The sequence below is a fragment of the Homo sapiens genome, chromosome 10 (assembly GCF_000001405.40).
Source record: "Homo sapiens chromosome 10, GRCh38.p14 Primary Assembly".
NCBI lineage: Eukaryota > Metazoa > Chordata > Mammalia > Primates > Hominidae > Homo > Homo sapiens.
The window spans coordinates 96,835,722-96,861,849 of NC_000010.11; the positions used below are offsets into that span (position 1 = coordinate 96,835,722).

The following is a 26,128-nucleotide window of genomic DNA, read 5'->3' on the forward strand; positions in this document are numbered from 1 at the left end:
GATTAAAAATTAATTCTCATTTCTAAAATCGAATTCTCCCTTCTATTAGTACTTTTTTGGAGGGTGTGGGGGCAGGTGGTGGTGGTGATGTTGCTGATTAAATGATTAGGTTCAGTTGAATTGGAGTTAGTCCTGGGTTCAGACAGTGATTATGATCAAGATGGATGATATTTGGTTACCAGGTGATTATTAAGGAGTCCTCTGAGACTAGGATGATCAGTTTAGATTCCAGGAAGATCTAGGCTCTCTCTGCGCCTGATATGATGTAACCTTTTGCTTTCCTGCACCTTGCCCTTGCTGTATTTTCAAGAAGCTCTTCCTAATGTGGGGAAAGTTGTGGTGATTTCAGCTTAGCTCTAGCTTGGCTAAAAATAGGACAGCAGATGAGTCTCTTTGACTTTCAGAAAGTTATTTCAGATTGCCCTAATTTCCTGAAATGTTCTTGTAGCTGGAGCAATTCTAGGAAGTATTTGAACAATGCCATTTTTTAGTCTTATGGTGCTACACAGGGGGGCCTGGAATTTCTTACATAGTGAGAATTGGTTATTTGATGCCACTTTTATTTTTATTTAGAGTTTTTTTTAGAGACAGGGTTTGGCTATGTTGTCCAGGCTGGTCTCAAACTCCTCCTGTCTCAGCCTCCCAAAGTCACTTGCCTGATAGAACTTGCCACTTCAGAGTACCTGCCTGATCATTTAGCTGTTTGTATTGATGCTGTTTTTAGGATGAAGGGCAGTTAGGTGTTTACTTCATTTAAACAAGCATCTGTTTTTTACCAGGCACTGTGGGCAAACAAAGTCTGGGAAAGTTGCCTCAACCTTCAGGAACTTTTAAACCTTAGAGAAAATGTAATGTAATCGATCAGTTATTGTACAAGGCATAGTGTGTCATATGATGGTGCAAGCAAATGCTAGGGGTGTTTAGAAGTGAAATCTCTCCCGAGTTGATGGACGATTTCGTGAAGAAGGTGGTGGATTTTTGCTTCGTTCTGATGGAAAAGGCATTCCATTCATGAGAAATGGCATGAGCAAAAGTGGAGAAGGACAGCAATGACTTGTCAATTTAAACTGCAGTTCATGATTAGTGTAAGGGATATACACATGATAGGTTTGCAAAGGTAGGTTGTAGGATTTTCTAATGCAGGTTAGAAAGTGGAGACTTTTTGTTAGGCAACTTGCAGTTTGCAACACGTTTCTTTCCTTAGCTCAGGGGAGGAATGGTAGCTTTAGTTAAGGATTTCATTGTGGAACTCTACAAAAATGACACAGATTCTTTTTTTTTTTTTTTTGAGACGGAGTCTCGCTCTGTCGCCTAGGCTGGAGTGCAGTGGCACCATTTCAGCTCACTGCAAGTTCCGCCTCCTGGGTTCAAGCCATTCTCCTGCCTCAGCCTCCGAGTAGCTGGGACTACAGGTGCCCGCCACCACGCTCGGCTAATTTTTTGTCTTTTTAGTAGAGACGGGGTTTCACCGTGTTAGCCAGGATGGTCTTGATCTGCTGACCTCGTGATCTGCCCGCCTTGGCCTCCCAAAGTGCTGGGATTACAGGCATGAGCCACTGCGTCCCTCTATGTATGCCCAGGCTGGAGTGCAGTGGCGTGATCTTGGCTCACTGCAACCTCCACCTCCCAGGTTTAAGAAATTCTGTGCCTCAGCCTCCCAAATAGCTGGGATTACAGGCTCGTGCCACCACGCCCAGCTAATTTTTTTGTATTTTTAGTAGAGATGAGGGTTCAGCATCTTGGCCAGGCTGGTCTTGAACTCCTGACCTCGTGATCCACCACCTCGGCCTCCCAAAGTGCTGGGATTACAGGCGTGAGCCACCGTGCCCGGCCGACAGATTCTTTTTTAAACCACCTTTACAGGGACAATATTATCATCCACAAGAGTATTATCTTCTAAGCAAGCTCATTTGGAGGTTATGCCTTCCATTGCTGTTACAGACCTATTTTTGGAATACCTTTAGGATTGACAGATTATCATCCTTGGAAGTTGGAGTTGGTATTTGGAAAGAGTCAAAAAGTATTTGCTGTGAAATGTGGCAATTAAAGGTATATGTTAAATAATGGGATTGGCTTTCTTCCCTGGCTTGCAGTCTAGCTCGGAAAGCTCAGTAGAGGGGCTTGATTTGTTTCGATGTGCCTCTGAACCTCTCTCTTAATTCATATTTCCCGTAAGTCTGTCCATCTGTTGTGTGGAATCTCAGTTTGTGATATTGGATAGATGCAAATAAGCAAAGCTGTTACTTTTCATAGTTTCAAATGAAAAACTCAACATCACTACTGTATAAATTATTTTCTAGTCTATCTGTGTTTATTTTTAAATTCCTTTTACTATTCTATACACTTGCACATTGCTCTGGGGGTAAAAATCCAATATAAACCATTAGCTCATTTTATTGACCATTCTTGTATTCAGCAAGTATCCCAAGTACAGTGGTCCATACCTTGAATTTTTTTTCACTTTTTAAGTGAGATATAATTTACATACCATAACAACTTAGTGGGTTTCAGTTATTTCAAATACAAGGTTGTACATATATCATCACTGTCTAATTCCAGAACATTTTATTTTTATTTTTTCTCAGCAGTGGGGTCCTGCCATGTTGCCCAGGCTGGTCTTGAACTCCTGGGCTCAAGTGATCCTCCTGCCTCAGTCTCCCAAAGTCCTGGGATTACAGGTGTGCGCCACCACACCCACCCTCAAAACATTTTTATTTCCTAAAAAAGAAACCCCACATCCATAGGCAGTTCCACATTCCGTTCTTCCTATGATCCAGCTCTTGGCAGCTACTATAATTTGTTTTCTGTTTCTGTGGATTTGTCTATTCTGGACATAGCATGTAATTGGAGTCATACAATATATGGCTTTTTGTGCCTGGCTTCTTTCACTTAGCATAATGTTTTTAAGATTCATTCATGTTGTAGCATTATCAGCACTTTGTTTCTTTTATGGCTAAATAACACTGCATTGTGTGGACATACCACATTTTGTTTATCCGTTAATCAGTTGATGGATATTTGGGTTGTTTCCACTTCGGGGCTATTATGGATGATGCTTCTCTGAATATTTGTGTACAAGTTTTTGTGTGGACATTTGTTTTTAGTTCACTTGAGTATGTACCTAGGATGGAATTACTGGGTCATGTGGTAACTGTTTTAATTTCGTAGGAACTGCCAAATTGTTTCCTAAAGTGGCTACGGTATTTTACATTCCCATCAGTACTGTATGACAGTTCCGTTTATCCACATCCACTCCAACACTTGTTGTTATCTGTTTTGATTATATAATAGCTATTTTAGTGGGTATGAAGTCGTATTTCAAAAAAACAAGAAATAAATACAAAAAAATAAGACAAGTTATATTTCATTGTGGTTTTGATTTGCATTTTCCTAACAGTGTGTTAAGCATCTTTTCATGTGCTTGTTGGCCATTTGCATACCTTTGGAGATACATTTATTCAGATCCCTTGCCCATTTTTAAAATTGGGTTATTATTTATTGTTGAATTGTAAGAATTGTGTATATATTCTGGATATACTTACAGTGTATGCTTTGCAGATATTTTTTCTCATACTCCCCATTTAAGAACAAATACAGATCAATACATGACCAGATACACTGTAACAAAAGCTAAACTGCAGGATACCTTATGAAGAGAATAAGGAGCGTAGTAATAGAACGAAATAGAATTCTCAAGAAAAGCCAGGTGCGGTGTCTCACACCTGTAATCCCAGTACTATGGGATTACAACTCCATTTGCAAGAGTTTGGATAGAGAAGGACACCTTTGCTCTATATTGCCCTGTCACAAATGTTTTGAATGAATCTGTTCCATTTCTGAGTTTAGTGAGAATTTGGGTAGTGAGAGGAATCTCACTAGCAGTATTTTTGAAATTTAAGATTACATTTTTTTTGTTTGCATTTTATAAAAACCCAGACATCTGACAAGTTATACAATATATTTTTTCTTGCTTTTTTTTTTTGAGACGAAGTCTGGCTCTGTTGCCCAGGTTGGACTGCAGTGGCGTGATCATGGCTTATTGCAACCTCTGTCTTCCAGGTTCAAGTAATTCTCCTGCCTCAGCCTCCCTAGTTGCTGGTATTACAGGCGGGTGGCACCATACCCAGCTAATTTTTTTGTAGTTTTAGGAAAGACAGGGTTTCACCCTTTTGGCCAGGCTGGTCTCAAACTCCTGACGTTCCGCCTCTCTTGGCCTCCCAGAGTGCTGGGATTACAGGTGTGAGCCACCACCCCTGGTTTATATTTTGTTTCCTGGTGCTAAGTTAAATATACTGTTTTTAAAGTGTTTGTTTGAATTTCGTTGATTCTTGGTTTCTCTGATTTTTGAATTGGTTAGGTTTGGTCTGTTACAAAGTGTCAGGTATAATGATGTCTTAAGGATGAAACTAAGTATCTTATGGGGTAGATGGCCGAATTTAAGAATCTTTTGCTTAATGGATTGTGAGGGTCAAGTTAGGAAAGCTGTGTAGTAATGAGTGGCATCTTCTAATGATTTTTGGTCTTCTTTTTATTCCTTTGTTTCATGTTTTAATCTACTTTTTGATAAAGAGAGTTGTAGATTCTTTTAGCATATCACTTAATCATTTTTCTGAATTCATTATTGTGCAAGCCAGTGAATTTTACATAGTAAAAACTAGTATTTGTTGTATCTTTACTATAATGAAGTTCTTATAATTGAGGGTAATAGAAGGATCCTGTCATGTGTAATGTGCATTTGTTAGTATAAGAGCAGGATACGTCAGGGTTTGCTAAAAGAAAAAAATGATGGCTGTAACTAGGGTTTAGACTAACGTTTCAAATTTGGTATTGGGAGACTAGAAATTAATATGCTTCAGACATGTCTATTTTAAAATTTCCTCTCTATATATTTTTTAAAATTTAGATTAAAGAAAAATAGAGATGGGGTCTGGGATTACAGGCATGAGCCACTGCTCCTGGTCTAGACCTGTCTAAAGGGACTTTTCTTTAGACTTTAAATGTTTTCTAGAGCTTAAAGACAAAAAATAAATTTTACTCAGTTGTGCCTTACAATTGTATTAAAAACTATTATAACAATACCATTTGAAGTAAAGCAGCGTTTGTTATAACTTCTGAATCATTGAAAATTAGTCCATCACAGGCCAGGTGGCTCACGCCTGTAATTCCAGCACACTGGAAGGCTGAGGCAGGCAAGTCGCTTGAGCCCAGGAGTTGGAGACAAGCCTGGGCAACATGGTGAAACCTTGTCTCCACACAAAATACAAAAATTAGCTTTAGCTGTGTGTGGTTTTGTGTACCTGTAGTCCCAGCTACTCGGAAGGCTGAGGTGGGAGGATCGCTTGAGCCCAGGAGGTCGAGGATGCAGTGAGTCATGATTGCATCACTGTACTCTAGCCTGAGGGACAGAGTGAGACCCTGTCTCAGGAAAAAAGAGAAGTTCATCACAGTTGTTTACAGAGGTGAAGGGGATTACTTAGAAACATATAGTTGTCTCACAAGAATTTTTTAAATGTGCAGTAATCTAGATGAATAATTAACTCTTTAAAATAACAGAAAGCAGAAAGTATCAGAAAATGTATTAATGGTATCACCATCTTATATATCTGCATGACACATTTAATACTTTCTAGAAAACTTACACTTTTTTTTTTTTTTTTTTGAGACAGTCTTGCTGTGTCAGCCAGGCTGGAGTGCAGTGGCACAATCTCGGCCCACTGCAACCTCCATCTCCCAGGCTGAAGCAATTATCTTGCCTTAGCCTCCCGAGTAGCTGGGATTAGAGGTGTGTGCCACCATGCCCGGCTAATTTTTGTATTTTTAGTAGAGACGGGGTTTCACCATGTTGGCCAGGCTGGTCTCGAACTCCTGACCTCAAGTGATCTGCCCACCTTGGCCTCCCAAAGTGTTGGGATTACAGACATGAGCCACCGCGCCTGGCCAAGACTTTCTTTTTGGATTAGAAGATGTTGTGAACACCAGTATTATTTCCCATGATAATTGCTATTATTGGAAAGCCTGTTGTTTTAAAAAATAAATAAATAAATAAATAATAAAAAAATATAGAGATGAGGTCTCATTATGCTGCCCAGGCTGGTCTCGAGCTCCTGGACTCAAGCAGTCCTCCCACCTCAACGTCCCAAAGTGCTGGGATTACAGGCATGAGCCACTCCACCCGGCCAGAGCATTATTATTTTTACTCATAATACTAGATAGTCTGTGACTGTTGTTTTTGATCTCATGATTAGCTTATTTTTCATAAAATCTGAATCATTTTATCATTATCAAAAAATGATTATTGTGTATAGTTCTCTTAGTACGTGATTTTTTAGAGTTTTGCAGAAGGTAAAAGCATGCTTTACCTTTCCTAAACTCACAGTATAAAGGGAAAGAGAGGCCAGGCACAGTGGCTCATGCCTGTAATCCCAGCACTTTGGGAGGCCGAGGCGGGTGGATCACGAGGTCAAGAGATCGAGACCGTCCTGGCCAACATGGTGAAACCCCCATCTTTACTAAAAATACAAAAATTAGCCGGGTGTGGTGGCATGCACCTGTAGCCCCAGCTGCTTGGGAGGCTGAGGCAGGAGAATCGCTTGAACCCGGGAGGTGGAGTTGCAGTGAGCCGAGATTGCGCCTCTGCACTCCAGCCTGGTGACAGATCAAGGCTCAATCTCAAAATACATACATACATACATAAATAGGAAAGAGAAACTAAAGGGATCTATAGAATGTATCCTACTTGATAAAAGAAAATTCCACATGTGAAAATGTGAATTTACCACAAAGACATCTGTTTCACTTTACAACATAATTCATATCTGATTTAATATAGTAACAGGCTCCTCTGGTACGTTTAGAATGATCAGTTGATACAAAAATTTTCTAAAAAGCTTGCTTTTTTTTCTTTTCTTTTCTTTTTTTTTTTTTTTTGAGACTGAGTCTGGCTCCGTCACCCAGGCTGGAGTGCAGTGGTGTGATCTCGGCTCACTGCATCCTTTTCCTCCCAGGTTCAAGTGATTCTTCTGCCTCAGCCTTCCGAGTAGCCGGGATTACAGGCATATGCCACCACAGCCCACTAGTTCTTGTTTTTTTTGGTAGAGAGGGGTTTTACCATGTTGGCCAGGCTGGTCTTGAACTCCTGACTGTGAGTGATCCACCCACCTTGGCCCCCCAAATTGCTGGGATTACAGGTGTGAGCCATCATGGCCCGCCCCTAGTTTATACAAATTTTTGAAATAAGTATACATTGTATGTAGAGGAAGCGAATGTTGAATTTGTTAAATTGAGTCATGCACAGATTCAGTTTGATGATCTCTTGTTTTTCACGTTTTTTTATTGTTGCCATTGCATGGATATTTGTGAACTTTTACCTGGCTACTCCTCTTCCTTCCAGTCAATGCAAGCATGTTTTGTTTGTTTTTTTGGAGACAAGGTCTGGTTCTGTCTCCCTGGCTGGAATGCAGCGGCATGATCATAGCTCACTGTAAACTCAAACTCCTGGGGTCAAAGTGATCCTCCTGCCTCAGCCCCTGGAGTATCTGGGAATGCAGCATGTTTCATCATGCCTGGCTAGTTTTTGTTTTGTTTTGTTTTTGGTAGAGATGAGGTCTTGCTATGTAGCCCAGGCTTGTCTCGATCCCCTGGCCTCAAGTGGTCCTCCTGCCTCAGCCTCCCAAAGTGCTGGGATTACAGGCATAAGTGTCTTTGGCCCAATGCAAGCGTATTTTCTAGGTTGTTTGTAGGTATTTACCCTTATATCTGCCCACTGGATATTATCCTGTTCTCTTTTACCTTTTTTTCGATTCAGTATTTATCAAAGCTAGAAAGGATGACGTAACTTGTTTTCTTGTCCAGCCATATCATTTAAAGGGAAAGGAATTTAAAATAAATCTTTTAGTTTGGAAAACTTCAAACATACAGAAAAGTAGAATAGTACAGTGAACAAACACCCAGCTACATCAACTAATGGCTATTCTTGTTTCATCCCTAACTGAATTATTTTGGAGCAAATTCCAGACACCATATTTAGTATTGAATCTTGGTTGTATCCTTTTGTATGGCACCATCTTCCTTTTCCCACCTCGCATCCCCATCAAGTGGTTCATAAGTTTAAAGAAATAAATAAGACATTTAAATATGGAGAAGTTTTTGCTTCTGTTTTGTTTACTTGTAATGTTTCTTAAAAGCTACCATATGTTGAGCATTTACTGTGTGACAGACAAGAGACCTTTGATGTTGTTAACATCTGTTTTACAGGCGGGGAAACAGATTTAGGGAGATTACAGATTTGATTCGTAATCACTCAGCTAAAATGTGGTAGACCTGGGATTGGAAATCAAAATTTTATGCTCTTTAACCTACCTACCTTCCCACCCTCCCTCCCTCCCTTCCTTCCCCCCTCCCTCCCTTCCTTCCCTCCCTCCCTCCCCTCCTGTACCCCCACACACCCCAAGACAGGGGTCACTGTGTCACCCAGGCTTGGAGTGCAGTGGCATGATCCTAACTCAGTGCAGCCTCCGACTCCTGGACTCAACTGATCCTCCTGCCTTAGCCTCCCTAGTAGCTGGGACTATGGGTATACTCCATGGTGCCTGGCTAATATTTTTATTTTTTGTAAAGACGGGGTCTTGCTTTGTTACCCAGTTTTCTTCAATCTTCAGCATTATGCATATGCCCTTCTTTTAGAATTTCCATTAAGTTGCCCGTCTTTGTTTCTAATTACTGATTGCTTATGTGCTTTATGTTACATTAAGGTATTTTGGTTTCTCTACCCATAATCTTACCATAAACAGGAGTTTATTCTATTCATTTTCTGTTCTCTGGCTTTGACTAGAATACCTTGCCTCCTTCTCTTCAGCTGTCACAGTCCTATTTGTGTTTCCTTTTTTCTTTTTGATTTTTTAGTTTTGTTAGCTAAATGAGTTTCTGAGCTGAATGTTTCCACTGGCTTAATTTTCCTTCTTATCTTGTTCAACTGGCCATTCTTCACCATTAACTGAGATTGGAGCGTAGGCTTAGGAGAGGGAAAGGCAGCAGAGGGTATCTGAGTGATACTGATTCTACGCCTACAGAGTCTTCTGTGTAGACCAGCCTAATTCATAGGAGTTTGTAACAAAGGCCTTTTAACAGTGTAGCTGCTTGGCCTTTTCTTCTATTGATATTCTTCCCAGAGACCTCAAGGAAGTGTGGGGTGGTGGTGGAGGGGCAAACAGGTTAAAGCAGATTGAGGTCAGGATTCAGGACTCCTGAATCTAGCCAAATGCCTTTTCTTCACTTCCAACCTTCTGTGACTTAAATTTAGTTTAGCTGGCAATATTTTAAATTGTGTGACAGAAAAGGAAGTTGCTGAGTAGTGTGTAATTACTGAGAAGGAGAAGAAGAAATTGGATAAATTTAAAAAATGAATAAAAGCTTAAAAATCAACTTAAAAAAAGATGATAACTCATACATCATTGGTCTTAGACAAAATGATTACTAGCAGGCACAGGAAGACGTTGTGACAAAGGTAATAAGGAGAAATTCCCATCAAAATAAAATGTGAAGGTTCTTGCCTTCAGTAAGAAAAAATGAGGGGAACGTCGGTGTTTATGAGTATTTCACATTTCAAATGTGGCTCTTTTGTTGCACCATGAATGATATAAACACTAATTTCCTGTGTGTTAGGTTATGTGAATTTTTATTCATCTAGTAAAGAAGCTGACAAAGTTTGCCTCTTATAAATGGGCTTATCCTTTTTTTTTTTTTTTTTTTTTTTTTTTTTTTTTTTTTGAGACGGAGTCTCGCTGTCGCCCAGGTTGGAGTGCAGTGGCGTGATCTTGGCTCACTGCAGGCTCTGCCCCCCGGGGTTCATGCCATTCTCCTGCCTCAGCCTCCCCAGTAGCTGGGACTACAGGTGCTCGCCACCTCGCCCGGCTAATTTTTTGTATTTTTAGTAGAGACGGGGTGTCACCGTGTTAGCCAGGATGATGTCGATCTCCTGACCTCGTGATCTACCCGCCTCGGCCTCCCAAAGTGCTGGGATTACAGGTGTGAGCCACCGCACCCGGCCAAAATGGGCTTATCTGATTACAGTAAAATACTGTAATTATGGGTGAGCATCAAGAAGTCCATAATCTTTGGTCATTGTTACTGAGAAAAACCTTTACACTGGTCATTTTTCTATGAATGTTTAATAGAGCTAATATGTCTTTTAAAAATGATTTGATTGGCCGGGGATTGTGGCTCACGCCTGTAATACCAGCACTTTGGGAGACCAAGGCAGGCAGATTATTTGAGGTCAGGAGTTTGAGACCAGCCTGGCCAACATGGTAAAACCCCATCTCTACTGAAAATACAAAAACTAGCTGGGCATGGTGGTGTACAGCTGTAATCTTGGCTACTCGGGAGGCTGAGGCAGGAGAATTGCTTGAATGTGGGAGGTGGAGGTTGCAGTGAGCCGAGATTGCACCACTGCACTCCAGCCTGGACTACACAGCAAGACTCTATCTCAAAACAAAAACAAAACTGGAATTTTGTTGTACTGGCTTTAAGTTTTTTTTTTTCTTTTTTTAAATTAAGACAGGGTCTTGCTCTGTCACTCAGGCTGGAGTACAGTTGTGCATTCTAGGCTCACTGCAGTTTTAGCCTACCAGGCTCAAGCAATCCTCCCACCTGAGCCTCCTGAGGCTGGGACCACAGGTGTGTACCACCATGCCTGGCTAATTTTTTTTTTCTTCTAGAGATGGGGTGTCCCTATGTTGCCCAGGCTAGTCTTAAACTCTTGGGCTCAAGTGATCCTCCCATCCCAGCCTTCCCAAAATGCTGTGATTACAGGCATGAGCCACTGTGCCTGTCTGTACTGGCTTCTTAAAACAAAACAAATCAAAATAAAGCAAACAGGTATGAGTAAAGTGATAAAGCTATTTCCTTTGTGAGACTTGTATAACCAGTTTTTATTTGCGTATATATTTACTGTGTATAGCTTTTCATTGTATAGTTTTTATTAAAATAGATTCTGGCATGTTAAAATAAATAGACATATACTGAGAAACCCCCATACATCTACTGAAAACAGTTTCAAAAAGACCCATGGCTTATGGCTGCAAATGTACAATCTTATCTAAAAGAGAACCTTCCCTTTGGTCCCCTTCTCCTTAGGAGAAGAACTTCTGCTTAACTTTATGTAACATATCCATATCAAAGATTAGTACATTTTATTGGTGAAAGGTAAAGGTATGTAAGTGGATAAATGGAGTAAAGATAGAAAAGAGAAATCAGGCTGGGGGCAGTGGCTCCAGCACTTTGGGAGACCGAGGTGGGAGGATTGCTGGAGCCCAGGAGTTCAAGACCAGCCTGTGCTGCATGGTGAAACCCCGTCTCTACAAAAAATACAAAAATTAGTCACATGCGGTATTGCGAGCCTGTTGGTCCCAGCTACCTGGGAGGCTGACATGAGAGGATTGCTGGAGCCTGGGAGGTCAAGCCTGCAGTGAGCCATGATCATGCCGCAGCACTCCAGTCTGGGTGACTGAGCCAGTCCCTGTCTCAAAAAATGAAAAGAGAAGCTAGAATTTTCCACATTAGCTGAGAAGACTTTTAGGAAGGAGTTACCAGAAGCTATAATAGAAATTTATGTGTGACTTAATTTTTCAAAAAAAAAAAAAAAAGCACACGGTAACAGTCCTGAATGAGTTATTTGGTCAAGAGTATTTTATTTATTTATTTATTTATTTATTTACTTACTTATTTATTTATTTTTTGAGACAGAGTTTTGCTCTTAATGTTGCCCAGGCTGGAGTGCAATGGCACGATCTCGGCTCACCGCATCCTCCGCCTCCCAGGTTAAGCAATTCTCCTGCGTCAGACTCCCGAGTAGCTGCGATTACAAGCGTGTGCCACCACGCCTGGCTAATTTTGTATTTTTAGTAGAGACAGGGTTTCTCCATGTTGGTCAGGCTGTTCTCTTAACTCCCGACCTCAGGTGATCTGCCTACCTTGGCCTCCCAAAGTGGTGGGATTACAGGCGTGAACCACCCCTCCCAGCCTGGTCAAAAGTACTAAAACTATTAAAAAGATTGAATTACCTACAAACTTTGATCTTTTAAAAGCAAGAGAATGTAAATTAATGGAGAAGAGTGTTCTGTAGTTAACGTAAAAAGAAAGAAACTGACACTGTGGCATGGGCAAGATAGCAGAGGATTGAAGACCCGGTTTTTGCCTTTTTTCCCCCCTTTTCCTGAGGACTTAAACTTTATTTTGGAAAAAGTGGCAGGTTTGTTTTTGTTAAATGGTTGAAAAGTGTTTGTATGTTACTTCTCAGATATTACTCAGTATAAATTATTTCTTAAAACCATATGAAGTTGTTTAGGTAAGAATGCTCTTAGTAATTACTATACCTAAGTCAGCCTGTATTTTGTCAGATATTTTTTAAGAAATGATCCAGATCAAATCAACTATTTTGAGGAATGTGAATATATATCCAGTTACAACTAGGAAAGAATGTTAAGAATATAAGCTGTGTTAAGAAACAGGAAAATTCTCTTGTTATATCATGCTGCTGCCAATCTGTAGTTTCTGTGACTCAGGAACAGAAGTATAAGCAATGACATAGTGATAACTGTTACTGTTATATTTTGATTTTAGATTTTAAAATAACCACACTTTAAAAACCGGATGCTGGGCTGGGCATGGTGGCTCACGCCTGTAATCCCAACACTTTGGGAGGCCGAGGCAGGTGGATCACTTGAGGTCAGGAGTTGGAGACCAGCCTGACCAACATGGTGAAACTCTGTCTCTACTAAAAATACAAAAATTAGCCGGTTGTGGTGGCGGGCATCTGTAATCCCAGCTACTCAGGAGGCTGAGGTGGGAGAATCACTTGAACCTGGGAGGCGGAGGTTGCAGTGAGCTGAGATCGCGCCATTGCACTCCAGTCTGGGCAACAAGAGTGAAACTCCATCTCAAAAACAAAACAAAACAACAAAAAATAAAAACTGGATGCTGAAAGGATGTTCTCAGATGGCAGAATCTGAGGATCTTCAGATTATTGCATCTGAAGATTATTATACAGGATGTTCAGTTATTTTGTTCAAAAACACAGGCTAGGATTCTGCCAGGAATATTCTTTCAGGAATGGTTAGCTTTTTTGGATGATAACAGTTTTTCATTCACCTTTCTTCCTCATTTAATATATTTCTATCTTTTCTTTATACTTTTTCCTTGTTTTTGTGCATATAAAATAAATAGATCTATGTTTTTGAAACTATCAAGAAACTGAATTAATTTTTAAAAATAAGTGTATATGAGTTGAAAATGTTTTTTTTTTTTTTTTGAGACAGATCCTCTCTGTCACCTGGCTAATTGTCTTTTTTTTTTTTTTTTTTTTTTTTTTTTTTGAGACGGAGTCTCCCTCTATAGCCGAGGCTGGAGTGCAGTGGCACAATCTCAGCTTACTGCAACCTCCGTTTCCTGGCTTCAAGTGATTCTCCTGCCTCAGCCTCCTTAGCAGCTGGGACTTACAGGTGTGCACCACCACACCTGGCTAATTTTTGTATTTTTAGTAGAGACAGGGTTTCACTGTGTTAGCCAGGATGGTCTCGATCTCCTGATCTCGTGATCCACCCACCTTGGCTTCCCAAAATGCTGGGATTACAGGCGTGAGCCACTGCGTCCGGCCTAATTTTTGTATTTTTAGTAGAGACAGGGTTTTTGCCATGTCACCCAGGCTGGTCTTGAACTCCTGACCTCAGGTGATTGGCCCGCCTCGGCCTCCCGAAGTGCTGTGATTGCAGCCGCGAGCCACCACGCCCAGCCAGGTTGAGCGTCTTTAATCTGAAAATCCCAAATTTGAAACGCTCCAAAATCTGAAACTTTTTGAACACCGAAGTAACACCATAAGTGGATAATTACACTCGACCTTATGTGATGGGTTGGAGTCAAAATGCAGGTGCACAACATACAGTTTATTCAGTGTCCCCAAAGGGAAAAAACATCCTCCCGGTGCTTTTCAGCTGAGATACATCTTTTCTATATATGCCCAGATTGCCCCAAGCAAGTGTGCCCTCAAAGCGTAATAAGATGGCATGTGTGCAGACCAGATGTGTCAGTGGCAGGATCCCCATGATGCCCCATGATGGGACCAAGACCTCTGTGTGTCACTCACTTTTTTTTTTTTTTTTTTTTTTGCTTATTCTCTGCTCTCTGACGTGAAGATATTGTTGGAATTGTCAGAAAGTCCTGCAGATATCCCTGTGGGTAAAACAAATAAGAAAAAGGGAAAGCATTACTAGCAAAGAAAGTCAAGCTGTTGGAAAAACTGACAGTGATGTCTGAAATGTCTTACAGAAGAGTATGTTGTTGGAATGACCACTGTATATATGACCTGAAAAATACAGTAGGATAAATTATTAAAGTTCTAGGTTGAAAGTGATGGGCAGAAGTTAGTAAAAAATAGAAAAGCACTGCATGAAGCTGAAAATGACCTTGATTAGATCTTGAAAGAGTAGATCCATCAGCATCACAGTGAACACATGCCACTTACTGGTATGCTTGTCATGAAGCGGAAAGATCAAGGCCGGGCGCAGTGGCTCACGCCTGTAATCTTCGCACTTTGGGAGGCTGAGGTGGGAGGATCATGTGAGCCCAAGAGTTCAGTACTGGTCTGGACAACATAGTGAGACCCCATATTTAAAAAGAAAGATCAAGCATGATGAACTGAAAATTGAAGTGAACTGTGAATGTTCAACAGGCTGGTTGCAGAAATTTAAGAAGAGATATGGCATTAAATTATTATTTTTTATTTATTTATTTTTTTGAGACAGCATCTCTGTCACCCAGGCTGGAGTGCATGGTGTGATGATAGGTCACTGCAGCCTTGATCTCCTGAGCTCAAGTGATCCTCTCACCTCAGCCTCCTGAGTATGGGACTACAGGTACATGCCACCAGGTCTTGCTATGTTGCCCAGGCTGTTCTCAAACCCTTGAGCTCAAGCAGTCCTCTCACCTGTCTCCCAAAGTGCTGGGATTACAGGCATGAGCGACTGTGCTGGGCTTACTAAATTTTAAAAGATTTGTGTTGAACCATCTGCTGATCATGGAGCAGCAGAGAAATTTATTGACAGATTTTCTAGGGTCATCACTGATGACAATCTGATGCCAGAACAAGCCTGTAATGCTGATGAAACATCACTGTTCTGGCATTATTGCTCCAGAAAGATACTGACTACAGCTGATGCAAAGGCCCCTGTAGGCAGTAAGGATGCCAAGGACAGAATAACTGTTCTGGAATGTGCTAATAATGCAGCAGGCATGCATAAGAGTAAACTTGATGTAATAGGCAAAAGCTTGTATCTTTGCTGTTTTCAAGGAGTGAATTTCTTACCAGTCCATTATTACGCTAACAGAAAGGCGTGGATCACGAGGGACATCTTTTCTGATTGGTTTCACAAGCATTCTGTACTACTGCTCATGCTTACTGCAGGGAAGCTGGACTGGATGATGACTGCAGGATTCTTTATTCCTTGATAACTGTTGTCATCCTCCAGCTGAAATTCTCATCAGAAATGTTTATGCCATGTACTTTTCCCCAAATGTGACTTAATTCAACCGTGTAACCAGGGTATCCTTAGATGAATGAAGAGTAAATAAAATAAGATTAAACACGTTCTTCAGCAGCACACTAGCAGCAGTGAACAGAGATGTGGGTGTGGAAGCTTTTCAAACGAAGTTTTAGCATGAAGGATGCCATGAATCAAGATGATTGTGATTATAGTGACGATGAAGATGGTGATGTTAACACTGCCGAAAAAGTGCCTGTGGATGACGTGGTAAAATCATGTCAGTGTTTAAAATCAGAGAGAGAACATGGTGAAATCATGTCAGTTTATGAAATTGAAGAAAGACTTCTAAGACAGAAAATGTTGTGAATGAGGCAGATGACTCTGGAGCAAACATTTTAAAAAAGCCATCCAGAAGAATTCCTCCACATTCTTAGAGGATCCACTTCTGGGTCTCTCAACTGCTTCTGATGTTTCTTTTCACCCCCCAAAATAAATACAGTGTTCAGTAATTTTTCAGTGAGAACATAGCATTGTAGATGGAGACTGAAAGCCTGACGTTGTTGTTGTTTAACAGTTGATTCAGGTATTCTGGTGATGCTCCTGTGCTCTTAGTTACCCCAAACACATTATTTTCTCACGTATTAATGGTATGTCATATTTTTTAATGTTAAGTCCTTATGTGTGAATAAGTGTAAGAATAAGGTTGCTTATTGGTAGCATATAAATTGAGAGTCAGGAATGATGCTAATGCCACACAATCATACATTGTCCACATGGGTGGCTGAGAAGGTGACATCTTGGTTTCTGATGCTTCAATGTATACAAACTTTGTTTCATTCACAAAATTTAAAAAATATTGTATAAAATTACCTTTAGGTTAGGCCAAACACATTGGGTCATGCCTGTAATCCCAGCACTTTGGGAGGCTCAGGTGGGAGGATCGCTTGAGCCCAGGAATTTGAGACCAGTGTGGGAAACATAGTGAGACTTTGTCTCTACAAAAAATTTTTAAAAGAAATTAGCCCAGTCTGGTGGCGCATGCCTGTAGTCCCAGCTGTTTGGGAGACTGAGGTGGGAGGATTGCTTGAGCCCAGGAGGCGGAGGTTGCAGTGAGCTGAGATGCACCACTGCTCTCCAGCCTGGGTGGCAGAGTGAGACCCTATCTCAAAAAACAACAACAAAAACCGACAAATTATCTTTAGGCTATGTGTATAAGGCACATATGAAACGTAAATGAATCTTGTGTTTAGACTTGTGTGCCATCCCCAAGATATCTCATTATGTATATGCAAATATTATAAAATCTGAACAAAATCCTAAACCTGAAACACTTCTGGTCTGAAGTATTTTGGATAAGGGATACTCAACCTGTATATCTATTTTATTCTAGGGAAACAGGCTTCTTCAGAAGCCCATGGAGATAGAGCTCCATGAAGTAGAAGCAATGGTAGAAGTAGAAGCAATGGTGGTGGTGATAGTTAAGGGAGTGAAATTAACTAGAAGGAGAGTTCCATGATGAAATATAGTCAGTAAGTCTTTTTTTAGTGACTATTTTGCCTCTATTTTTGTATCATTGTTTATATGACTTCCATAAAACAATTTCATTTTGTTATAATGTGAGTAGCTTTGTCTCTTCTCATTTTCTCTATTATTTATGAACTTAAAACATTTTAAAACATCTAAACTTTGTTGAAGTTAAACATTGGTTCTCCATTTCTAACAGTTTTAAAGGTATGCTTGAATAGTAAATTTGTAATGATAATAGGAATACACTTTATTTTGTTATTGTTGTCACCTTTTGTGTTTTTTTGAGGTGGAGTCTCGCTCTGTTGCCCAGGCTGGAGTGCAGTGGTGTGATCTTGGCTCACCGCACTGCAGCCTCCACCTTCCGGGTTCAAGCGATTCTCCTGCCTCAGTCTCCTGAGAAGCTGGGATTATGGGCACGTGCCACCATGCACAGCTAATTTTGTATTTTTAGTAGAGATGGGATTTTGCCACGTTGGCCAGGCTCTTGAACTCCTGACCTCAAGTGATCTGCCCGCCTCAGCCTCCCAAGTGCTGGGGTTACACGTGTGAGCCATTGCACCCAGCCTGTTGTCACCTTTTAACATCATAAACGGAAGAATAAAAATTATTTTCTTTATTCACCTACCAAAATAAGATAGTGTTTCAGTTACCTGATGTCACAGTAATGGTGCTTATCAATCACAAAACCTTAGTGATGTATAACTAGAAGCATTTATTGAACTCAAGAGTTTGAGGTTCAGCTAATCTGGTCTAGGCTTGCTCATGTAGTCAGCTGTGTTGTTGTTGACTAGGCAGCTCTGCTGATTTTGGCTGGACTTGCTCCATGTCTGGGGTGATTTGGCTGATGTAGGTTGACCTAAGTTGGGATAACTGGGGCAACTAGTCTCTGTTCTACGTTTCTCACCTTCAGCAGGATAGCTTGGGCCTGTTACCACGTATTTTAGTCTGTTCTCACACTGCTATGAAGAAATACCCAAGACTGGGTAATTTATAAAGAAAAGAGGTTTAATTGACTCAGTTTGTCATGGCTGGAGTGGCCTTAGGAAACTTAACATTCATGGTAGAAGGTACCTCTTCACAGGGCAGCAGGAGAGAGAATGAATGCAAGCAGGGAAATGCCAATGCCTATAAAACCATCAGATCTTATAAGACTCCCCCATTATTACGAGAACAGCATGGGGGAAGCTGCCTCCATGATTCGATTACCTCTATCTGGTCCCACCCTTGACACGTGGGGATTATGGAGATTACAATTCAAGGTGAGATTCAGGTGGGGACATAGAGCCAAGCCATATCACCCTGGCATGACAGAAATACGCAAAGAATTTGGAAATAAGCACCTTTTCAAGCCTCTGCTTGTATAATATCTAATATCTCATTGGCTAAATGAGATAGCTCGTTGACTAAATGAATATCTTACTGGCTAAATCACATAATTGAGCCTACAGTAATGGTAGGATGATATAAAGTTACCTGGCAAAGGGCCTAGTTACATGGAGCGAAAAAGAATTGGGGCCATTTACAATCTACATCAGAAAGCATCAGTTTTCATTTCTTTGTTTGAGATGGAGTCTTGCTCTGTTGCCCAGGCTGGAGTGCAGTGGCGTGATCTCGGCTCAACCACAGCCTCCGCCTCCTGGGTTCAAGTGATTCTCCTGCCTCAGCCTCCCGAGTAGCTGGGATTATAGGCACCCGCCACCACACCCAGCTAATTTTTGTATTTTTAGTAGAGATGGGGTTTCACCATGTTGGCCAGGCTGGTCTCGAGCTCCTGACCTCAAGTGATCCGCTGACCTCGGCCTCCCAAAGTGCTGGGATTACAGGCTTGAGCCACCGTGCCTGGCCCATTTCTTCATATTCATGTCAGTAGGTATTCTTCAAGCACTTAATAGGTGCTAAGCAGATATTTTTCCCATTTAATATGTACAGTCAATTTGAAAAGAGTGATATTCTTTTGTATAGAAACAGACTAGAAAAATAATTCACAGATGTACTAGAATTGGTGATGCGAATCTAAGATTTTCTGACTTCAGAGTGTAATTGCATTCATATGATTGTAATCATTTAAATGGTGTCTTTAATTTTCTCCCTAAGTTATTCCCCCATTATTTTGGGGAAAAATTATATGTGTGTTTTATCATACCTTTCCTACTGAATATCTTGTTTTAGCCCTCCCAGGATCCTTTCTCTCCTCCTCTTATGGCAGTAGCATCTTGATTTTCTTTTAGGGAGTCACCTTTTCTGCCATTCTTGAGTTCCATATGATTTGGATGAGGCTGACTTACCCCTGGGACTGATGTCTGGCCATTGGTCACAGTGAGTGAGTGGTTCAGGGATCCTTCTGAGATTTGGTTGGTGGAGTTCTTGGGAAAGAGATTTCTTTTCTCTAGGGTAGCTAAGCTAATAGCCTAAAGTGGGAAGCAGCTACCATGGGGGGAGAGCTTGCCTGTGAGTGATGCTATATGCATTTGTGTGAGACATACAGAATGATGGATGAGAATTATTTCTGTGTACTTGGATCCAGCTGTGCATGCTCTAAAAAAACTTACTCGAGCCGATAATTACCTTTTTTGCTCAAGCCCATTTAAGTTGGGTTTTTATTACCTGGAACCAAAAGTTTTGACTGACGCTGTTTTTTTTTGTTTTTTGTTTGTTTGTTTGTTTGTTTTTGAGATGGAGTTTCGCTCTTGTTGCCCAGGCTGGAGTGCAATGACGCGATCTTGGCTCATTGCAACCTCTGCCTCCCAGATTCAAGCAATTCTCCTGCCTCAGCCTCCCTAGTAACTGGGATTACAGGCGCCCACCACCATACTTGGCTAATGTTTTATATTTTTAGTAGAGACGGGGTTTCACCATGTTGGCCAGGCTGGTCTCCGACTCCTGAATTTAGGTAATCCACCTGCCTCGGCCTCCCAAAGTGCTGGGATTACAGGCATGAGCCACAGTGCCTGGCCTGTCTAATGCTTTTGTTTTGTTTTGAGACGGAGTCTCACTCCATTGCCCAGGCTGGAGTGCAATGGTGCGATCTTGCCTCACCGCAACCTCTGCCTTCCGGGTTCAAGCGATTCTCCTGCCTCAGCCTCCCGAGTAGCTGGGATTACAGGCATGCACCACCATGCCCGGCTAATTTTGTATTTGTTTTAGTAGTTACAGAGTTTCTCCATGTTGGTCCGGCTGGTCTTGAACTCCCGACCTCAGGTGATCCGCCTGCCTCAGCCTCCCAACGTGCTGGGATCACAGGCGTGAGACATAGCCCCTGGCCATCTATTGCTGTTTTTATTTTATTTTATTTATTTAGTTTTTTTTTGAGACGGAGTCTCGCTCTGTTGCCCAGGCTGGAGTGCAGTGGCGCAATCTCACCTCGCTGCAACCTCCGCCTCCCGGGTTCAAGCAATTCTTCTGCCTCAGCCTCCTGAGTAGCTGGGATTACAGGCATGCGCCACCACGCCCGGCTAATTTTTTTGTATTTTTAGTAGAGACAGGATTTCACCAGGCTGGTCTCGAAATCCTGACCTTGTGATCCGCCCACTTGGCCTCCCAAAGTGATGGGATTATAGGCATGAGCCACGGCGCCCAGCCCTAATGGGCATTTTAATCCTCTTTCCCTCCCTTCTTTTCTTTCCCTTCCTTCCCTTCCTCTCTTCCCTCCCTTCCTTTCTTTCCTTCTACCCTACCTCCCCCCTCCCCCTTCCTCCCTGCCTTCCTTCCTTTATTTCTCTCTCTCTTTCAGTCCCCACTGTCTTACCCCGTCCCTGTACCCCTCCACTCTGACAGGGTCTTGCTCTGTCACCCATGCTGGAGTGCAGTGGTGTGATCAGTGAGTAGCTGACACCACAGGCATGTACCATCATGCCCAGCTAATCTTTTATTATTTTTGTGGAGATAGGGTTTTCCTATGTTGCCCTGGCTGGTCTCTAACTCCTGAGCTCAGGTGATTCTCCTGCCTTGGCCTCCCAAAGTGCTGGAATTACAGGTGTGAGCCACTGTGCCCAGCTAATACTGTTTTTTCTCTAGAAAGATACCTCCGTAAGGGCAGCAGAAAAGAAATAGCTCACTACGGGTAGACAATGCAAAAAAAAAAAAAGTAAAAAAAATTATCTGGCCTTATGGAAATGGGGAAGGTTTGTTTACCTGGGATGATACTGTACTAGAAAGGAATAGTAGGGAACAGTATGGGGGAAGATCTACTTAATTTCAGGAAGTAGAAAAAATAGACTTAACCACTTCAAGCCATTCTCTTACTCTTTTTTTTAGTGAATTCTTCAGTCACCTGTGAATACTAAGATATTACTATAGATATATATATGTATATATATGTGTGTATATAGTACATATTTGAATCTTGCAGAGTTAATTTTAATTGTAGTTATTTCTATCTCACAAGACATTTTAGACAAAGAAATAGTGTTGTAATTGTTGGTTATGATACTACAACCCACAAACATGATTTAAGTAAGTAGAAGAGTTTAATTAGTGTATTATTGAAATAAAAAGAACAGACATCCATTCCCAAAGCCATCCCCTGTACTTTTTTATTACTTGGAAATGTTAAAGTCTTAAATTCCAGTATGCCATTATCCCATGTGTTTTGATAGATGTTAATTTTATATGTGGGTTAACAGTTGTGTGAATTGATGCTGCTATAAATTTATCATGTCCAGCTTCAGCTGGACTCTCAGTGCTGGGAATTCCTTTGTGTATTCTTGGTCGACCCCTGCAGTTTACCACAATGGCTCTTTAGCCTCTATATACTCTTACTTCTCTCTCAGCTGATGATCTTGTCACCTGCAGAACAGTGAAAATTTAGGCTATTGAAAGTGAATATTCCACAGCATCCTCCCTTTTACCCAGGGCTACTTAGAAAATTTTAGAAAAATACTGCCTAAAGCATTGTTTCAAAGTATCGATCGCTTGAACAAAACCGCTACCCTAGATGATCTTGGGCAGGGTAGGGGAATCTGTATTTTTAACAAGTGTCTCAAATGATGCTTGGACACACTGAAGTTTGGAAACCACAGGCATGTGAATAAGGTTACTTTAACCAGCATGCAAGATTCTCCAAGATATCTGATCCCAGGCTATTGCTTCAGTTTCACCTCTCTCTCTATACCCTGCCCAGTCCCTATTCCCTAACCCCTGAAGTCTTCTTACCATAAAATAGCTCACTCTTTTTCTAGTGTATCAGGCTAAAATTGAGTAAGAGGTAGTGTTCTGTTTGTTGTGATTCAAGTTATTTAAGGAAAAATAAAAACTAAGATGAGAAAGAGGGAGTGTTAATTTTTGGACACAGTTTGGTGTACCCTTAATGACTTTAACACAGTGATTTTTAAAAGGTTAAGTGGGAGGAATTGTGCATTTGAGAACCACTGTATTAGAAGTATTAGAGATAGTAAGGACTGTAATTTTTCTATTTGTGTGAATTGTGATGAGACACTTGAAACGTGACCTTTAACAGGTGAAACATTTTATCTAGTTTTACTTCAAAATGTAATGCTTTCCTTTTTGTTCAGAGCATGTTACTCTGAGGTTTCTGAAGCACCAGCAAATGGATTAAGTAAAGGTCTGGGGATTTTCGACAGACAAATTGGTAAAAGTTGGAGGTGGCCAGCAGGCAGAAAAAGAAGACCTTTAGATTGTGAGTATAAAATGTTCATGATCCTTCCAGAACTACAGGGTTACTTACTGACATACTATGTGTGTGACACAGTTTGCTAGAGAAACAAACCAACCATAAATAATTGTAGGCATAATAAAGGGTGAGACTATCATGAGTTTCCTCACAGTGGTGCTGTGGTCAGAAAGAGATATTCAATATGATTGTCACCATTCTGGCTAGCATTTAGTAATTAGGCTTGTCATTACTTTTGGGGATGATCATAATGTGGAGTGTCATTAGGGAGGGGAAAACTTTATGAATGTTTGGATACTTAGGGTTTTTTGTTTTTTTAAAATAACTCTGGGAGTTTCTAATATTGTTTATATTTTGCTATCAGGACCTCACAGATCCGTACTTTTAACAAGCATGAATGAATTTGTAACTTAGATTCCAGAACCCTGCCTGGCAGATGGCCTGGTGGATAGGGCCATCTGTGTCCATTACACAGATACAAATTATTCTTTCTCTACTGGCTCTCCCTGTCCTTTGCTAAATTTGAGAAAGTAACCTTAAAAAAGTGAGGTTCTTTTCTCAACCATACGGCACATTGCAGTATTGTGCTTTTATCAGGACACTTTGTATTGCAAATGATAGAAACCCAACTCAGGTTAGTTTAAGTCAAAAAGGTCATTTTGTGGGTTTATGAACTCGGAAGTTCAGAGCATAAAATGAGGTTCTAACATGACAGGATCCAGGAGTTTTAACTGATATCATCAGGAATGTTTCCTTCTTTCCATCGGTAAGCATTTTGTTGTACTTTTGGCTTTGTTCTTTGGCAGGTATGATGGTAAAGATGGTCAGTGGCATCTGTTGCCCGGCTGGAGTGCAATGGCACAATCTCGGCTCACTGCAACCTTAGCGTCCCGGGTTCAAGCAATTCTCCTGCCTCAGCCTCCCAAGTAGCTGGGATTACAGGCGCCTGCCACCACATCTGGCTAATTTTTTTGTATTTTTAGTAGAGATGGAGTTTCACCATGTTGGCCAGGCTGGTCTCGAACTCTTGACCTCAGGTGATCCACTTGCCTCAGCCTCCCAAAGTGCTAGGATTATAGGTGCGAGCCACCGCGCCCAGCCTAGACTTGTATCATTCTTAAAGTCCAGAATCCCAGAAGGAGGCATGTGTCTCTTTCCTTTTTTTGAGACCGAGTCTCGCTCTGTCGCCCAGGCTGGAGTGCAGTGGTGTGATCTTGGCTTACTCCAAACTCTGGCTTCTAGGTTAAAGTAATTCTCGTGCCTCAGCCTCTTGAGTAGCTGGCACCACAGGCGTGTGCTACCAAACCTGGCTAATTTTTTGTATTTTTAGTAGAGAAGGGGTTTTGCCATGTTGCCCAGGCTGGTATCAAACTCCTGAACTCAAGCAGTCCACTCTTGGCTTCCGAAAGTGGTGGGACTACTGGCATGAGCTGCGGCACCTGGCCTGATGTGTCTCTTTCTGTATAGTACCAGCCAAACTGAGTGGATAGAAGGACATTGGCCAGGCCTGGGTCATGTGGCCCATCCCTGAGCCAGTCAGTATGGCCAGTGGAGTGTGGTTCTCTGACTTGACCAGGGACAAGTGCCCGCTTTTGGAGAGGGGCTTAAGATCAGCCTTCACTTAAGGGCTTGAAGGAGAAGAGTGGTTCTTCAAATGAAAATTGGATGCTGTTATCTAACAGAAATGGATATAGGTTAGGCAAAAATTGATAAATATTCTAACCATGAATCTAGATCTAATTTTGAAGAAATTGACTGACTTGGGCCATGTGGTGGGTTGAATTGTGTCCCCCAAAAAGATACAATGAAGTCTTAACCTCCAGTGCCTGTGAATTTTAGCTTATTTATACATAAGGTCTTTGCAGTTAAAATTAAGATGAAGTCATACTATATTAGGGTGGCCCCTAATCCAACAAGTGATAACTCCAGAAGAAGGGGGAAATGAGGATACAGACACGGAAGATGGAGGCAGGGATTAGAGTTACACTGCCACAAGCCAAGGAATGCCAAGGATTGCCAAGGATTGCTGGCAACCACCGGAAGCTAGGAAGAAACAAGGAAGGATTCTTTTCTAGAGCCTTTGGAGGGAGCATGGCCATGCCAATACCTTGGTTTCTGACTTCTAGCCTCTAGAATCGCAATGTTGTTTTCAGCCAGTTACCCAGTTTGTGGTAGTGTGTTCCAGCAGTCCTAGAAAGCTAATACAGACTATATTTGGCACATGCTGAAATTTAATTTTGGGTAAGTCCATCGTTTTGAAATAAAATGCTGACCATAAGTTTTCCCGGTGGATATCTTCAGAAAATGTGATGTTACTTTGTGGTTGGTTATATTTATGGAACTTTACATTTTAGTCTATAGTTACAGTTTAGCTGAACCTGTGTTCCTAGTTGATGGACAGCTAAACATTTCTTAGTGTGTCCTACTCAGCAGTCATGTGTGAAAACTAATAGAAGAAATAAAGTGAAACGCCTACAGTAAATACATGCCAATATCCTGAGTATAAAAGAAAGAGTATGTTTGGGGCAGTTAGCTGTTGAGGTAAGGACAGTTAGTATTTTGGTGAGTCTAAGCAAAAAGTTAATAACTTGAACGATATTTCTGGGTTCTAGTTCATTTTCAGCAAACAGAGTTGGATAACACCTTTAAGGTTGGCTGGACTTTGAAAAAAACGTAATGAATATTCTTTTGGTTTCTAATTTATAGAAAGTGGGTATCTTCTTGTTCTGTAATTTTGTTCAGAACCTTTGTGGTGTGACAAATTCATTTTTGAGGAACCTAAGACTACTGGAAAAACAGATTTAGGAGACCTATGCAAGTACTTTTAAATACATATGCTTTCCCTTCCAGCCCCACTAAAATTCACTAAAATGAAATAACAGTAAGTAAAGAAAATGTCATAAGTTCGTAGTGATGAATGCAGTAAGCTTCTTCTAACACTTATAAATATTTTTGACAGTGGTAGTGTGAGTGTGGGAAAACAAAATCTGTTTTTCCTCTGCTCACACCATATTACAATAATCACAATCTTCAACACAGAACAGTTCTGTGACCAAACGTGGGTTTTTTCCCCCACCAATAAGCAGGCATTCAATTCTGCAGTGGACACTAGGTGAGTCTCTTCTCTTCTCTTTTCTCTTTCTTTTTTTTTGAGACAGGGTGTCTCACTCTGTCACCCAGGCTGGAGTTCAGTGGCATGATCACAGCTCACTGCATCCTCCACCTCCTGGGTTCAAGTGATTCTCCTGCCTCAGGTGCCTGAGTAGCTGGGGTTACAGATGTGTGCCATCACACCCGGCTAATTTTTGTATTTTTAGTACAGATGGGGTTTCGCCATGTTGGCCAGGCTGGTCTTGAGTGATCTGCCTACTTTGGCCTCCCAAAGTGCTGGGATTGCAGGTGTGAGTCACTGCGCCCAACCAAGGTAGGTGTCTTCTAA

General features: G+C 41.3%; 1 protein-coding gene across 4 annotated transcripts in view, besides 4 other annotated features; it reads left to right on the top strand.

Annotated features, from left to right (window-relative positions):
- LCOR (ligand dependent nuclear receptor corepressor) overlaps positions 1-26,128 on the top strand; it is a 163,659-nt gene that overhangs the window by 3,424 nt on the left and 134,107 nt on the right. The gene's annotated exons all lie outside the window — the stretch shown is intronic.
- Positions 1,551-2,051: an enhancer, noted in NCBI's record as "H3K4me1 hESC enhancer chr10:98597029-98597529 (GRCh37/hg19 assembly coordinates)". NCBI's record gives its function as "activates a minimal SCP1, AML or CMV promoter by ChIP-STARR-seq in primed H9 embryonic stem cells {active_cell/tissue: H9 hESC(primed)}" and the evidence as "EXISTENCE:reporter gene assay evidence [ECO:0000049][PMID:30033119]".
- Positions 4,089-4,588: an enhancer, noted in NCBI's record as "H3K4me1 hESC enhancer chr10:98599567-98600066 (GRCh37/hg19 assembly coordinates)". NCBI's record gives its function as "activates a minimal SCP1, AML or CMV promoter by ChIP-STARR-seq in naive H9 embryonic stem cells {active_cell/tissue: H9 hESC(naive)}" and the evidence as "EXISTENCE:reporter gene assay evidence [ECO:0000049][PMID:30033119]".
- Positions 5,231-5,525: an enhancer, noted in NCBI's record as "tiled region #4280; HepG2 Activating DNase unmatched - State 5:Enh, and K562 Activating DNase matched - State 5:Enh". NCBI's record gives its function as "activates a minimal TATA promoter and a strong SV40 promoter by Sharpr-MPRA in HepG2 and K562 cells {active_cell/tissue: HepG2 | K562}" and the evidence as "EXISTENCE:reporter gene assay evidence [ECO:0000049][PMID:27701403]".
- Positions 7,123-7,622: an enhancer, noted in NCBI's record as "H3K4me1 hESC enhancer chr10:98602601-98603100 (GRCh37/hg19 assembly coordinates)". NCBI's record gives its function as "activates a minimal SCP1, AML or CMV promoter by ChIP-STARR-seq in naive H9 embryonic stem cells {active_cell/tissue: H9 hESC(naive)}" and the evidence as "EXISTENCE:reporter gene assay evidence [ECO:0000049][PMID:30033119]".